The 13746-nt window shown below is 40.7% G+C and overlaps 1 protein-coding gene across 11 annotated transcripts in view, besides 1 other annotated feature; it reads left to right on the forward strand.

The window, feature by feature from the left end:
- The window catches only part of UBE2U (ubiquitin conjugating enzyme E2 U), a 63746-nt gene extending 53597 nt beyond the window's left edge, over positions 1 to 10149 (forward strand). For all 11 annotated transcript variants that reach the window (NR_158769.2, NM_001366232.2, NM_001366234.2 and 8 more), the window contains 2 exons: positions 3384 to 3475; positions 9805 to 10149. Coding sequence is in view for 10 of the 11 variants with exons in the window: in NM_001366232.2 (NP_001353161.1) it covers positions 3384 to 3475; positions 9805 to 9989 (277 nt within the window). In the remaining variant the exon portion in view is untranslated. The remainder of the gene's footprint in view (positions 1 to 3383; positions 3476 to 9804) is intronic.
- Positions 5412 to 6611: an enhancer, noted in NCBI's record as "P300/CBP strongly-dependent group 1 enhancer chr1:64728314-64729513 (GRCh37/hg19 assembly coordinates)". NCBI's record gives its function as "activates an origin of replication core promoter dependent on BRD2, BRD4, P300/CBP, MED14 and CDK7 cofactors, with strong dependence on P300/CBP, by STARR-seq in HCT116 cells {active_cell/tissue: HCT116}" and the evidence as "EXISTENCE:reporter gene assay evidence [ECO:0000049][PMID:35650434]".
- Positions 10150 to 13746: the final 3597 nt, after the last annotated feature.

A 13746-nucleotide genomic window follows, 5' to 3' on the forward strand; every position in this document is an offset into this window, starting at 1 on the left:
AGAGGCAGAAATACTATTTGACTCAGCAGTTCAAATCCTGGGTATATACCCAAAGGAATATAAATCATTCTGTTATAAGGACACATGCATGCCTATGTTCATTGCAGCACTATTCACAAGAGCAAAGACATGGAATCAACCCAAATGCCCTTCAATGATAGACTGGAAAAAGAAAATGTGGTACATACACACCATGGAATACTATGCAGCCACAAAAAAGAACGAGATCATGTCCTTTGCAGGGTCATGGATGGAGTCGGAAGCCATTATCCTCAGCAAACTAACACAGGAACAGAAAACCAAACACCATATGTTCTCACCTAGAAGTGGGAGCTGAATGATGAGAGCTCATGGACACATGACAGGGAACAACACACACTGAGGCCTGTTGGTGAGGGGGGTGTGTTGGGGGATGGAGAGCATCAGGAAGAATAGCTAATGGATGCTGGGCTTAGTACATAGGTGATGGGATGATCTGTGCAGTAATCCACCATGGCACACGTTTACCTATGTAACAAACCTGCACATCTTGTACATGTACCCCTGAACTTAAAATAAAAGTTGAAGATAAAAAAGACTAATTATATGTTATGTGAATTTCACCCCAATAAACTTTTCAAATAAAATTAAAATTAAAATCTCTCAAAGATGGGAGAGAGTTTTAAAATAAAAGATAAAGGAGATTTTCACACATTGAAAAAAAAAACTCTCAGTAAATTAAGAATAGGAAAGAACTTCCTCAACCTGATAAAGCATATTTATTTCCATAACTATAGCCAACATCATATATAATGCTAAAAAAACTGAATGTTTGCCCTGAATGTCAGGAACAAGGCAAGGATGTCTGTTCTCACTACTTTCACACATTTTATTGGAGGCTTTATTTTCACTATAGCATGTATCACTACTGATTTATCTTGATTTTTATATTTATTCATTTTTGTCTCTTCCATGAAGTCAGAGACCTTGTCTGTCTTGTTCTTCCTATATTATTAGCTCCTAAAATAGTGTCTGGCACAAGGTTGGTGTTCAATGAATATTTATTAAATGAATGAACTTTCTGGTAGTATTGTATAAGTGAGGTACACTTGTGTGACAAAAACGTTTCTTTTTTTTTTATACTTTAAGTTCTAGTGTACATGTGCACAACGTGCAGGTTTGTTACATAGGTATACATGTGCCGTGTTGTTTTGCTGCACCCATTAACTCGTCATTTACATTAGGTATTTCTCTTAATGCTATCCCTCCCCCATCCCCCCACCCCAAGACAGGTCCCCTTGTGTGATGTTCCCCGCCCCGTGTCCAGTTGTTCTCATTGTTCAGTTCCCAGCTATGAGTGAGAACATGCAGTGTTTGGTTTTCTGTCCTTGTGACAGTTTGCTCAGAATGATAGTTTCCAGCTTCATCCATGTCCCTGCAAAGGACATGAACTCATCCTTTTTTATGGTTGCATAGTATTCCATGGTATATATGTGCCACATTTTCTTAATCCAGTCTATCATAGATGGACATTTGGGTTGGTTCCAAGTCTTTGCTATTGTGAATAGTGCCACAATAAACATATGTGTGCCTGTGTCTTTATAGTAGCATGATTTACAATCCTTTGGGTATATACCCAGTAATGGGATTGCTGGATCAAATGGTATTTCTAGTTCTAGATCCTTGAGGAATCGCCACACTGTCTTCCACAATGGTTGAACTAGTTTACACTCCCACCAACAGTGTAAAAGCGTTTCTATTTCCCCACATCCTCTCCAACATCTGTTGTTTCCTGACTTTTTAATGATCGTCATTCTAACTGGCGTGAGATGGTATCTCATTGTGGTTTTGATTTGCATTTCTCTGATGGCCAGTGATGATGAGCATTTTTTTAAGTGTCTGTTGGCTGCATAAATGTCTTCTTTTGAGAAGTGTCTGTTCATATCCTTTGCCCACTTTTTGACGGGGTTGTTTGTTTTTTTCTTATAAATTTGTTTAAGTTCTTTGTAGATTCTGGGCATTACCCCTTTGTCAGATGGGTAGGTTGCAAAAATGTTCTCCCATTCTGTAGGTTGCCTGTTCACTCTGATGGTAGTTTCTTTTGCTGTGCAGAAGCTCTTTAGTTTAATTAGATCCCATTTGTCAAGTTTGGCTTTTGTTGCCGTTGCTTTTGGTGTTTTAGTCATGAAGTCCTTGCCCATGCCTATGTCCTGAATGGTATTGCCTAGATTTTCTTCTAGGGTTTTTATGGTTTTAGGTCTAACATTTAAGTCTTTAATTCATCTTGAATTAATTTTTGTATAAGATGTAAGGAAGGGATCCAGTTTCAGCTTTCTACATATGGCTAGCCAGTTTTCCCAGCACCATTTATTAAATAGGGAATCCTTTCCCCATTTCTTGTTTTTGACAAAAACATTTCTATGCCACCTACTTTTCTTCAAGAAAACTTTGTTGCCAAAAGTTTTCTTTTCATTATGTACCCCAAAAAGTAGTCGTCCCCCAAAAAAATTTTGTAAAATTTTTGATTTCCATATGTAAACTCTTTCTCCAAGGAAATGCTCTAATAGCTTGACTTGGGCTCATTGATGTCTCCCATAAGCCTGTTGTTTTATCCAGGATGAGTCATTAATTTTTCTGATAGAATTTCTCCCCTGTGTAGTGGGTTGAATCATGTCCCCACAAAACAAACACCTGTCCCCCCAGAACCTCAGCATATGACCTTATTTCAAAATAGGGTCTTTGCAGATATAAATAGTAATTAGTTAAGATGAGGCTATACTAGATTTAGGTGGACCCTGAGTCCAATGACTGTTGTCCTTATAAGAGAGCAGAACTACAGAGACCCACACGGAAAAGGTCATGTGACATTGGAAGCAGAGACTGGAGTGATGCAGCTATAAGCCATACAATGTAAAGGATTGCTGACAGCCAGCAGAAGCTAGGAAGAGGCAATAGAAGATTCTTCCCTAGGGCTTTCCGAGGGAGGGAGGCCCTGCTGCCACCTTGATCCCCAACATCTAGCTTCCAGAACTATGAGAGAATACATTTCTGTTATTTTAAGTCACCAAGTTTGTGGTCATTTGTTAAGGTGGCCCAAGGAAACTAATATACCTTGCTATACCACATGATGTTTTTATTACTTTTACTATGATGTTTTTTACTATGACATAAGTAGTAAACATGTCATATTCATTTGCTTTTCCAACTTCTATTCTGTTGGAAAGCACATATTGAAATAATTTTACTTTACCATTAAATTAGTCAAGACTCAGAATGGTTCCATATTCAAAGCCTATTGTTCTACTTTTATGTTTCATTTCATTTGTTTCACTTATTTTTCTCAGAAGTAAATATACCCTTACCAAAATTCATTTGGGAATTTAGTTTTCTTTTTCTCTTTCTAGGTATTCCGTTATCAAGTGTTGGCTTGCTAGAAAAAGAATGCCTCATGAAGTCACTCACTCAATGGAAGAAATTAAGCTCTGCCCAACTCTAAGTAAATCGATTCACTCTATTTGTTTTGCTTTTATAAATAACATATTATGCATAATATGCATAACTTTAAACTTTTTTCCATTTAAGTAAGTTGGAATATATGAGGGCTAATCCTTGTGTTCTCCTTTTAAGGTTGCTTTAACTTTTTCTGACTTTCCAAATTAATTTGGTAAATTAGTCACATAGGAATTGGAACTTTGACAGAATTGAGTTACTTATATTTTCAAGCTTACTACCCTTTAATAGGTTGATATACAATTTGAAATTTTAAGGCTAAGTTTCAAAATATGAAAAAGCAGCCAAAACACACAGAGCACTAATAAACTGATCCCTAAAACTCATTGTATATTCAAAGGTATATGCAATATGGTTGAAAAGAAAGAAACAATGCTGAGTTGTTTTTCGTGCTCTTTTAAAAATTACCATTTACTTGTTGGGATAGGTTGAGAGTGAGTCTTCAGCCGGGAGAGCTGGTAACTTACCATGGAAGTCAGCTGGTATAGAGGGGAAAGCATGACATTTGGGGATAGAGAACTTAGGTTCAGATTCCAGTTCTGTGCTACTATGGAAAGGTCACTCAACCTCTGAACTTAGTTTTTTTCATCCTTAGCTAGTACTGTGTATGTGGAAGATGTTCAACAAATCCTAGTTGCTAAAAATCTGCCCTTACTCACAGGATTCTTATGACTAAGTGACTCCATGTATAGACAATTTCTTTGTGAACTGAAAAGTACAAAAAAAAATAGTTACTGTTTTTTCCTGTCACCTGGCCACTAAACATAACAGCATATAAATGCCAGGCACAGGCAATCACCTTCATTCAGTGATTCTCCAAGGGCCCTGCCCCCGTATCTCCAAGTTTCTTTTCCCTGCTCAGTATCCACCTCTCTCCCTCCTAATTGTTTGGTGTGCCACGCAGATTTCCTCCTCTGTATTATCAGCCTCAGCCTTCTCCATTCAACTCTCCCTTCTTCCAGATTTCAGGGTACCTGTGAGGTAGGAAATGTTGCCTTCTCCAGCCTTGCTCTTTGCTTTCTCCATGATTTCCCTACTCCCCTCTGCAATCTCTGTCTTTCAACATCCCCACCATGTTCACCAGTGGAAGAGATCAGTTGGTTAAGTTGATGTGATTACAGTAATTTTTGTCTATGCTTTGTCAGACTGGTGACAAAGCTATGTCTCTATAGCTCAGCTCTGCTTATGTTTTTACCAGGTCTAAAATACTTTGTTTCCCATTTTCCTTCAGGATAAAATTTAGACTCTTTGACACAGAAAATCCTTAATGCTCTAATACTTGTCTCTGTCTTTGCAGTGACATTCCCTCCCTCTCCCCTTCACAACCTAAATGCTACACTAAGCTAGTGGGTCATGATTGTTTGTTCCCTACCTCATTTCATAAAAAAATTTGAGCAGTACACTGTGTTTTCTCATACCCCTACTCTAAATGCTCTTCTCTCCCCTTCTTTACTTTCTAATGCCTATGCATCCTTTGAGATTCAGTTCGGGTATTACCTTTTTTAGGAAACTTTCTTTGTGGGTTATCATAGCACTTCTACCATAGCCGTATCATGCTCTATTTGTTTTCTATTGCTGTGTCACAAATTAGCACACATTGAATGGTTTAAAACAACACACATTTATTATTTTACTGTTTCTGTGGGCCTGGAGTACAGGCACAGCTTAGCTGAATCCTCTGCTTAAGGTCTCAGAAAGCTGCAATCAAGGCTTTGGCTGGGCTGCATTCTCATCCTAGTGGTTTGAATGGGGGAGGAATCTGCTTCCCAGCCCAGTGAGGTTGTCGACAGAATCCATTTTCTTCTGTCTTTAGGAATGAGGGCCCTGGCTTCTGGCTGGGTATATGTGGGAGGCCTCCCTCAGCTGCTGAGGGCTGCACACAGTTCCTTGCCATATGGGCTCTCCCAGCCTGGCCTCCTACTTTATCCAGCAAGAGTCTTTAGAGCAAGTCTGATAGCAAGATGGAGTCATATGTGATGTAACATAATCATGTGAGTGAGACCTTATCACTTGCATCCTATTTTATTGGTTAGAAGTCATGGGTCCTATCCACACTCAGAAAGGAGGAGTTTACACTCAGGTGTAAATACCAGGATGCAGGGATTCTAGGGGCCATCTTGGAGTCTGTCCGGCACACATGCTGTGTTATTACTCTCTTTACTGCCTGTCTCCTTTGAAAAAGAGTGAGATTCTTGAGGGAAGGGACTGCTCACCTCCCAGTCTTCCACAGCACAGTGGTTGGCATACAGTAGCTATCAATGAGTAAGTAAATAGTAGGATGAAGTAAAATTGTCATGTTTTTATCTGCCTTGTGATTTGGGGGAAAAAAAGGTGAAAACCCATGATAAGTGGGGAAAAGGCAAGTTGGAAGAGACAACATTTTAAGTTTAATGTCCAGAAACTGGTTAGCGCTCCAGTGCTGAGCCTTGTCCTCTTTAATCATGGAATAGACTCCTTTCTGTCTACTCTGGAAGAAACTATACCTGAGAGGTTGTGGTAAATTTGATTATTGTTCAGAAATATTAATTCCTGCTCCACCTACATGAACAAAACATGTTTCCTTGTGCCTTGACTTTGAGCTTTTCCCTGTGACCTGTTTTCATCAGTGGAATATTAGTGGGTGCAGTGTGCCCCCAGGGTTTGGAAAGGGTTTGCATGATTTGGCTTGCTCTTTTTCTCTTCTGCCATCATCACCAGAGCGTGCCTGGACTGGCCCTCTGATCACAGAGAAAGATTCAAGGCATAGATCTGAGCTTGCCCACCCACGTTTCCCAGCCATTCCCCAGCCAAAGAAGCCAACCACCTATTGACCTGCTGACATGTGACCAAAACAAATACTTATTGCTGTATGTCACTAAGATTTTGTGGTTGTTTATTATGTAGCAAGAGAGTTATTATGTAGCGAGAATGAACTTATATAGGATATCAAAGGGAAGTATGACTCAGAAAAGGAAAGAATTGTGTGTCCCTCTTTTGCAGAGAAGGATGGCATGTCATAGTTTGCCAGTGGGAGAAACTCACCAGAGATTTGGCAGGTGGGAGGGAAGTTGAGGACATTATGCTTGGGAAGTTGTTCATATCAGGCATGGCGGGTTCCTCAGATATGGCATTTTCACACATCTCTCCACAGCCTCACTTCACAGACATGGTGGCTGCACAAATATCCCCATGAACTCATTGTTTTTGTCCCACTTTGGGTGGCTAAATGTGTGCAGCCTCTTGTACTCTATGAGCTCCTGGTTTCCCACTCGTGTCAGTGCATCAGACTAAAGTGGGTCACGACTCTTTTTTCAATTCTCCAGCTGTAGCTTCCAGATCTTCACTCCCCTGGGTCCTCCCACAGCTGGATAATCCCACATTCCTGTGTTAGACTCTCACTCTTGTATTACTTGTAGTGGCTCTGTTTTCCTAACTGAACCCAGGCTGAAAACAGGACTGAATAGAAATAAACCATTTGGCAATCATCAAAGCCCATCAGTCAGCACAGATTTTAATATCTTTATTAGCTAAACTATTTTCAGATTAAAAATAAATTATCAGAGGCAGAGTTTCCATGATCCAACCCAAGAAAGGCATGGAAAATATAAGGCAGTTAGAATTTGTGCTTCCATAACTTATTTTGTTAACATAGTAACAAAATCCCCACCTTTATTACTGATTCCAACCACCAAATCCAAGGTGTCTCAGAGAGATTTATAATGCTTAAGATTTCCTGGAGGAGAGAAATTCAAAATAATATTGTTTTTTATGTTCTAAAGAAACATTTCTATATTTATTTTGCATTATAGTCTGCTGATCTAGCCAGGTTTCTTTTTATGCTTCCTGGGAGTTTTTAACAGGGCAGGAACTAAGAAGGCAAATAGTCAAGGTGGTTGATTCCCAACTTTCATTCCACGCCAGCAACTCACGTCAGCCAATCATGGTGATCCCATTTCCCTTCCCAGTAACTAGTTTAGAAATGGGGCGGGGCGCAGTGGCTCACGCCTGTAATCCCAACACTTTGGGAGGCCAAGGTGGGTGGATCACCTGAGGTCAGGAGTTTGAGACCAGCCTGGCCAACATGGTAAAACCCCATCCCTACTAAAAAAAAAATTAGCTGGGCATGGTGGTGAATGCCTATAGTCCCAGTTACTTGGGAGGCTGAGGTGAGAGAATCACTTGATCCCAGGAGGCAGAGGTTGCAGTGAGCTGAAAGCACGCCACCGCACTCCAGCCTGGACAATGGGAGTGAAACCCTGCCTCAAAAAAAAAATTAAATTAAATTAAAATAAAAGAAATGGCATGTGACAGGATCCTGCTTGAGGGGAAATATGCTGGGCACTTCAGGGGATGGTTTTGCCGTCCACTCTTAAAAATGAGATCTTGGTGAGAAGATCGCTTTTTCCCCTGGATGTTGCTGTGTCCGGTGTGGTTACTAGAATGGCCGTAGCTCTCTTGCTATGCACCTGAAGATGAAGACAACACCTCAGTTAGCAAAGCAAGCAGTAAGAAGAGCTGTGTCCTTCGTGACATTGTGGAGTCACTGAAAACATTCAGTCTTGCTCTCCACTCTGGCTTTTCTCTTATGTGAGATAAAACACTCTCCTATTGTTTAAACTGGGTTGACTTGGCTTTATATTTCTTGTAATCAAAAGCATGTGGAGTCAGAAAGGCCCAAGCATGGTTAGAAAGAACTGGAGTTAGTCCATCAATAATATGTTCATGGAAAATAAATAGATGCTTTTCTCAAGGCACAGACAGAATTTAGTTTTAAATTAATTACAACTAAATATTAGTACCGAAAGTACAAAAAATTAAAAATCACTGTGGGCCTCAGGATAACCATAGGATAATGGTGACTGTGTAAACTCACATCTCTCTGTGTATCTTTCTCTCTTTGTTTTGTTTTGAGAGGGAGTCTCACTCTGTCACCCAGGCTGGAGTGCAGTGGGTCAATCTCAGCTCACTGCAACCTCTGCCTTCCGGGTTCAAGTGAGTCTCCTGCCTCAGCCTCCAGAGCAGCTGAGATTACAGGCTCCTGCCACCACACCCGGCTAATTTTTGTATTTTAGTAGAGACAGGGTTTCACCATGTTGGGCAGGCTGGTCTCGAACCCGTGACCTCAAGGGATCCACCTGCCTTGGCTTCCCAAAATGCTGGGATTACAGGTGTAAGCCACCATGCCCGGTCTGTCTGTGTATCTTTCTATAAACCAAAGACAGAAGGAAAACAAGTCACTTGTAGCCCATGTCTATAACATTAGAAGACAGCAAATATTACAGGGTTTATTTCATGTGTGAGGGAAATAAACATATGAGGCAAACAAAATTTGTCCTGGAACCCATAATCAGCAGTGAATCCGGTGACAACTAGGAAAAAGGGAAGAGAATGCAGTGAGATTTTAGAGTTAACAGAACATAAATAGTACCAGCTAGAGTTCATCCCCAGAAAGCAAGGTCCCCATGCTGTGTAGAAATATACATCTAGAAATATAGACATTATATCTATATTCTCCTTTTGAAAAGTATAATCAGTTTATTTCCCTGTTTACAAGGCCTATAAGATAAAGATGAAAGTCCTTTGCATGACATATGAGGCTTTCCTGATCTGGCTTCAGCCTCCCTTCCAGCTCCACGAAACTTTCTGTATACTATAACATTGTGTTTTTGGATAGACAGATCTGGGACGAGTCTTGTTATTAGCTGGATATCTTTGATCAAGTTACTATAGGTTGCTCAGCCTCAGTTTCCTCATCTGTAAAATAAGAATAATAATACCTGCCCATCACAAGGGTTGTGTCTGAGTTAAATAATATTATAGCTGTCGACGGGTTAGCACCGCACCTGGCACAGTGGAAGCGCGGGAGAATCCATTCTGATCACCCCTAACCCTGTCAAGTCCTCTCATACCTTTGTGCTTATACGATGTGTGCTGTTTCTTCTATCTAACATGTTCTGACCTCCCTTCTCTGTCTAACAAACTGGTCTTCCTGTTTCAAAGTCCGACTCAGTTTTCACTTAGACACAGTGATTCCCTCCCTGTGCTCCCAAAGCAGCTTTTCCCTTGCACATCAACTGGCCCTTAGCAGAGACCCAGTAAATATATATGCTAAATGAATGAACTAACAAAGCATCAAAAGATTGAGCAAAATGGAAAGAATGATTTTTGACAAATAAAGTTACTTACAAAACATGAAGTTTAGAAAGTGTATAAAAGGTTGCTCACATTCATTCAGATGGTCTTTGGCATTATCCTACAAATGCAGGAACACTTCTCTTTTTATTGTTTTTCTTATTATGTCTATTAAATTTCTATTTTTTATAATTCCCACCACAGATGAAATTTTTCTTGAGTCACCAACTGCAATAAATAGCATCACAGACATTTATGAAACAGAAGAGGAGGGGTGGAAGAGTGACACTTCATTATATGAAAATGACACAGATGAGCCCAGGGAAGAGGAAGTGGAAGATCTGATCTCCTGGACCAATACTCTCAATACAAATACTTCAGAAGATTAAGCAGAACATTATCAGATTCAAAAAATAAACAGCCTCCGCCATAGCCCAGCGTTGTGGAGCAATTTTGGAAGACTCTCAGAACTTGGATTTCATTTTTTTTAAGTTGTTCTCACCCACTCACTGCAAGTACAAATTAGAAATATAAGTACAAATCAGTAAAGATGTTGCTTTGACTTTTTTGAGTGCTACTCCTTTAGAACAAAGTTACCAAAGTTAGGGGTGTTCATTGCCATATGCCAATCAATGGTGTCACACTCCCACAGTTGTTAGGCTACTGGACACAAGTTTTTGCAGGCAGAGAATGGGTCAGAAAGAGGTTGGGATAGGAGGGGAGCAATTAAAAGCTTCAGAGGCTGGACATGACCCCAAGTAGCGGGATCTATACATGGACCTACATCTGCCTAGTTTCTTGTCTTGTTTCCTCCATATTCAAGGAATGAGATGTCGCTATTTACTAATGTTTCTCTTCTGTTTTATCCCAGAGTACGTGCCATTTTCTCTTAAACCTTGACCTATCTCCTCGTATTCTTATAACTTTATTTTCTCTGTCTCTTTTTGCCATATTGTCTCAACCTACACATGTGCTTTGGTCTCTCCTATTCTAAAATATGTCTCTGCCTTTGACCCCCAACTCTGCTTGCCTCACCAGTATTCACTCATTTTTCTCAGTCAGATTTATTGATCTGCCTTCCGGGTTCAATATTTAGCTAAATATTTAGCTAGCCAGGAAAGTGTCAAGAGACCAGATATGTGTAGTAGAGCTTTCTGGTGGCACATGCCCATAGTCCTAGCTACTCAGGAGGCTGTGGTGGGAGGATTGCTTGAGCCTGGGAGATCGAGGCTGCAGTGATCTGTGATCATGTCACTGCACTCCACTCTGGGCAACAGAGCAAGACCTTGTCTCAAAAAAAAAAAAAAACAAAACAAAACAGAACAAACACACCTAGGTTTCTATGGTTGTTGAGAAAAACCAAATAAATGCATCAATACATTAATATTTATGAAGTTCTAATAATAGCACCTGGCCTATAGTAAGCACTATATTTGTGTTTGATCAAATAAAAAACAAAATTTACTTCTATTTAGTTAATTGATCCCATGCACTATGAAAGAAATTCAGATTCAGGGGGCCTGAACTGAAGTCTATAAACCTGCAGTTTTAAAAATTACCCCAGCTGGCCAGGCGTGGTGGCTCACGCCTGTAATCCCAAAACTTTGGGAGGCCGAGGCGGGCGGATCATGAGGTCAGGAGATCGAGACCATCCTGGCTAACACGGTGAAACCCCGTCTCTACTAAAGATACAAAAAATTAGCCGGGCATGGTGGCGGGTGCCTGTAGTCCCAGCTACTTGGGAGGCTGAAGCAGAATAGCGTGAACCCGGGAAGCGGAGCTTGCAGTGAGCCGAGATCGCGCCACTGCACTCCAGCCTGGGCGACAGAGGGAGACTCCGTCAAAAAAAAAAAAAACAAAAAAACCAGCTGATTCTGATGAAGATGATTAGTGGATGACACTTTGAGACAATGTAATTCTGAGATTAATTTCAAATATGATTAACATGGCATGCCAAATCGTGCCATTTGATAACGGAGTGTGTCATGTATAGTAAAACTCCACAACTGACGCATACCCTCCACTGGATATGACGTCAGATCTGAAGTTAAGGTTCTATAGGAACGCGAGGCCCCAGCCCCCTTGTGATCAGTCTGGATGGATTCTGAAAAGAGAGGAGAAGAGAGAAGCAGGGAATTTCATTTTTTAAAATGTTCTGAATTAGCCGGGAGTGGTGGCGCATTCTTGTAGTCCCAGCTGCTAGGGAGGCCTGGGGCACGAGATTCGCTTGAACCCGGGAAGCGGAGGTTGCAGTGGGCAGAGACCGCGCCACTGCACTCCAAACTGGGCGACAAAGCAGGACTCCGTCTTAAAAGTATAAAATAAAAATAAAAGTAAATAAAATAAATATTATAAAATTTTGCATTTACGTCATTGTCAATGTTTTTTAAACTTGCGTTGTTGTTTAGACTCCACTTCCCCTCCAGATGGCGCCAGTTAGCTATTTCATGCACTTCAGTCTTAAGAGACACTTCACTGGAAGCCAGGCACCAAGCCTCCTTATGCTTTTAAAGGCTCGTATGGCACATGACCACTTTATAAGAGCGGAATACTTTGTTTTCCCTCCCAAGGAAGATGTTTACTCAGTACTAGGAAAGATTTACTAAAAGAAAAATAGCCCAGAGCTTACAAATTACTCACGTTGATAAAATCATAGAGCCAACCTGGAGAAATCAGTCAGTCCTCACCACTGGCTTCAGGCAGGACCACACAGAAACCACCCTCTTGTAGATGAGAATGAGCCTGAGTTTTGTTTAATGACTTCCAGACATCAGTGCATCCACTGAGAACTGCTGCCTCTCCTACCTGAGGGAGGGAGGGACTTCCCTAGGGGTTGACAGTTAGAAGGCTCTCTGGGGCCTGCCTGCCACCTAGACCTCCTTTGCCTCCCTGCTGCTCCCTTACAGGCCATGGGTGCCCCTAACGAGGAGATGGTAGCAATGGTGTTGGCTGGGAGATGAAGGGGGATCCTGTGCCTCTCTGTTATTTGGCAGTTAACTAAGAATATACAGAGACCCAGAGTTAAATTTAAGCCACTCTCTCCAGAGGGTGAGATCTCAAACCTTATCTAAATATTCAACTCCAGTATTTAACCACCTCCCAGAAGAGAGTTCTTTTTGGTTAATCTGATTCCTAGATGCAAAAGTATAAGCCCACTTGATTTGGGGTTTTCATCATAAAAGATGGAGTGCAGCTGGCTCTCATTTTCTGAGCAATATCCCTTAATAGATCTGAAGGCTAATTTTAAATGTTCTATACCCTTCTGCGATCTGTACTAACCAACCCCAGACCTTTTCATTCTTTGTTATGGCCTCTCAATGTTCAAACCCTCTCCCCGACTCTTCATCTCACTTTCAAGTTCTAAGGACCAGACTGGAATCTAAATGAAAAGTGATCACTTGAACAGCCAAGGGTAATTATATTTACAAGTTGAATTCTGTTTCAACAAATACAATTACAACATCCATCCTGATCTCCTGAGGCTTTTTGCATGTCTCAATAACTAGCTCATGTTAACAATCCTTCACCGATATAAAAAAAATGTTTTCTATAGAGGAGAAAATTGTATATACTAGATGTGTTCACAAGTTGCCATCCATTTTTAAGTAAAACTTCATAACTAAGATATTGTTCTCATTAAGTAAGTGTATGTACAATAATTAACTTAGAATATGTCTAAAATAAACCTCAATGTCACCAGTGAGGGCTACTAATAAGATGATATTACTTTAGTGTTCAAAATTGTTTAAATAACTCTGAGTTCTCATATTGTGTCATATGAGTCAACTTTTTCCTACGTTCCATGGCAAATAACAAAAGACCTACTAGAGGATTAAAGAGGTAGAGACTCTTTTTTTTTTCCACAAAATAAGGAGCCCTTAGGTGGGCAGTTGCTGGCATTGGTTCAGCTAGTTGGGCAATGAAGCCATCAAAGACCAAGCTTTTTCTCTTTCCTCGCTACCATTTTTAGGATGTTGGCTTTTGTCTCCATGCCTTTTGCTTCTTGATTACAAGATGGCTGCTAGAAGGCTGGGCATAGTGGCTCACACCTGTAATCCCAGCACCTTGGAAGACCGAGGCAGAAGGATTGCTTGAGCCCAGGAGTTTGAGACCAACCTAGGCAACATAGTGAGATCCTGTTTCTAC

Source organism: Homo sapiens, chromosome 1 (assembly GCF_000001405.40).
Source record: "Homo sapiens chromosome 1, GRCh38.p14 Primary Assembly".
Classification (NCBI taxonomy): domain Eukaryota; kingdom Metazoa; phylum Chordata; class Mammalia; order Primates; family Hominidae; genus Homo; species Homo sapiens.